The sequence below is a fragment of the Homo sapiens genome, chromosome 9, assembly GCF_000001405.40.
Source record: "Homo sapiens chromosome 9, GRCh38.p14 Primary Assembly".
Lineage (NCBI taxonomy): Eukaryota > Metazoa > Chordata > Mammalia > Primates > Hominidae > Homo > Homo sapiens.
In genome coordinates this window covers 134,242,961-134,244,708 of record NC_000009.12, presented here as the reverse complement: position 1 = coordinate 134,244,708, position 1,748 = coordinate 134,242,961, and the positions used below count along the sequence as shown (strand labels likewise).

General features: G+C 47.1%; 1 annotated feature.

Annotated features, from left to right (window-relative positions):
- Positions 651–770: an enhancer, noted in NCBI's record as "active region_29275". NCBI's record gives its function as "activates an Ori minimal core promoter by ATAC-STARR-seq in GM12878 lymphoblastoid cells {active_cell/tissue: GM12878}" and the evidence as "EXISTENCE:reporter gene assay evidence [ECO:0000049][PMID:35858748]".

The following is a 1,748-nucleotide window of genomic DNA, read 5'->3' as shown; positions in this document are numbered from 1 at the left end:
CACTCTGTTTCTTCCTAGTTTTTTTCCTGACTTATCATTTCACTTTATTAAAACTCTATTTCCTAGCCTACTGTTAAGCCTGTCTATTAAGTTTCTAATTTTAATCATTGCATTTTTCTAGAATTTCCATTTTGTAATAGATTCCAGTTGTCTAGCAAAATTCTCTGTTTTATCATCCATTTGCTCGAATAATAATTTGAAAGCCCATCTGTGATGCTACCAATAGCTGAGCAGTCTGTGGGGCTGTTGCTGTCATCATTTTTTTTCTCTGGGTCCTGTTTCTTGGTTTTCCTTGACATTTGTGAAGGCTTGGCTATACCTCTGGTTCCCTTTCATAGCGATTAAGCTTCCTGGCATCCCGGCTGAGAGCCTGGAGCGTCTTCTAGAGCTTCTCCTCCTTGGCAAGTCCTAAGCTCTCATTCTGGGCTACCTGACACTCTAGAAATTCTGACACCTCAGTAGCTTTCTTCTGGGCTTCTTAGCTTCTTGCTCTGCACACGTTCATCCACCAAACAGCTAGAAGGGAAACCTCTGAGCATCAAACTCACTTATTTTCACCACCTTTCTCCCCAGGATCTTCAGATCGCCACTCAATTTTTGGCTACCTTGACAGGTCCAAACTCCAGTGTCAGCCCTGTGAAACTCCGCTGGCTTCCCTTCCTCTTCACGGGTGTTTATGGTCTCTTGTCTTGCAGCAGGAGTTGGGAAATCCCCTGAATGAAAAGCGAGCAACAGCGTTGGCTCATCTCTCCGCGGTTCCCCTTTTGCTGAGATCTCAGCCCTTTGAGTCCCGATTGGCTCAGCTGCTCACCAGTGTCTTCAAAAAGAGCATTCGTATTTTACCCAGCTTGTCTACGTAGTGATCTATGCTGGCTACTTCATAACAGCCAGAAGCAATAGTCATTAAGTGGTATTTTAATTAACTATATTGGCATTTTATATATATATATATACACACACACACACACACACACACATACGCACACTATGTTCAGCACTACAGAGTCCAAATACAAGACACTTTTACCAAGTATTTTATTTGTAAAGGCATCCCAAAGGTAAGATGTCAACACGCAAGATTGGAGTGTGGAGGTGACGCTCATCCAACTTCTTTATTTCTTTTTTTTTTTTTTTTTGAGACAGACTCTTGCTCTGTCACCCAGGCTGGAGTGCAGTGGCATGATCTTGGCTCACTGCAACCTCCGCCTCCCGAGTTCCAGTGATTCTCCTGCCTCAGCTTCCTGAGTAGCTGGGATAACAGGCACACGCCGCCACCATGCCTGGATTTTTTTTTGTATTTTTAGTAGAGATGGGTTTTCGCCATGTTGGCCAGGCTGGTCTCAAACTCCTGGCCTCAAGTGATCTGCCCGCCTCAGCCTCCCAAAGTGCTAGGATTACAGGCATGAGCCACCGCGCCCAGCCTATATTTCTGATTATAAAAAAATTGCAGCAATGGTCGCCATGGTCCACGCATCAGCCAGCGCCTGCTGGGCTTTACACAGCTCTCCTGTCTCCCTCACAGCAAGTCCAGGGGGAGGGTCTAGGAGGCCCCGTTGGGAAGTGACACTCGGGATTTGAGCTCTGGCATGCCTGAATCCCTGAGCCGCTGCGTCCTCCTGGCTCCCTGCAGGAAGATTTCTCCCATGCTGTTTATTTTCAGGATGGTCCCTGAAACGTAAGGGACCCGACAGCCACCACGGCGAGGAAGGCGCAGAAGGGGCAGCACGGAGCCGTGAGCCACAGAGATG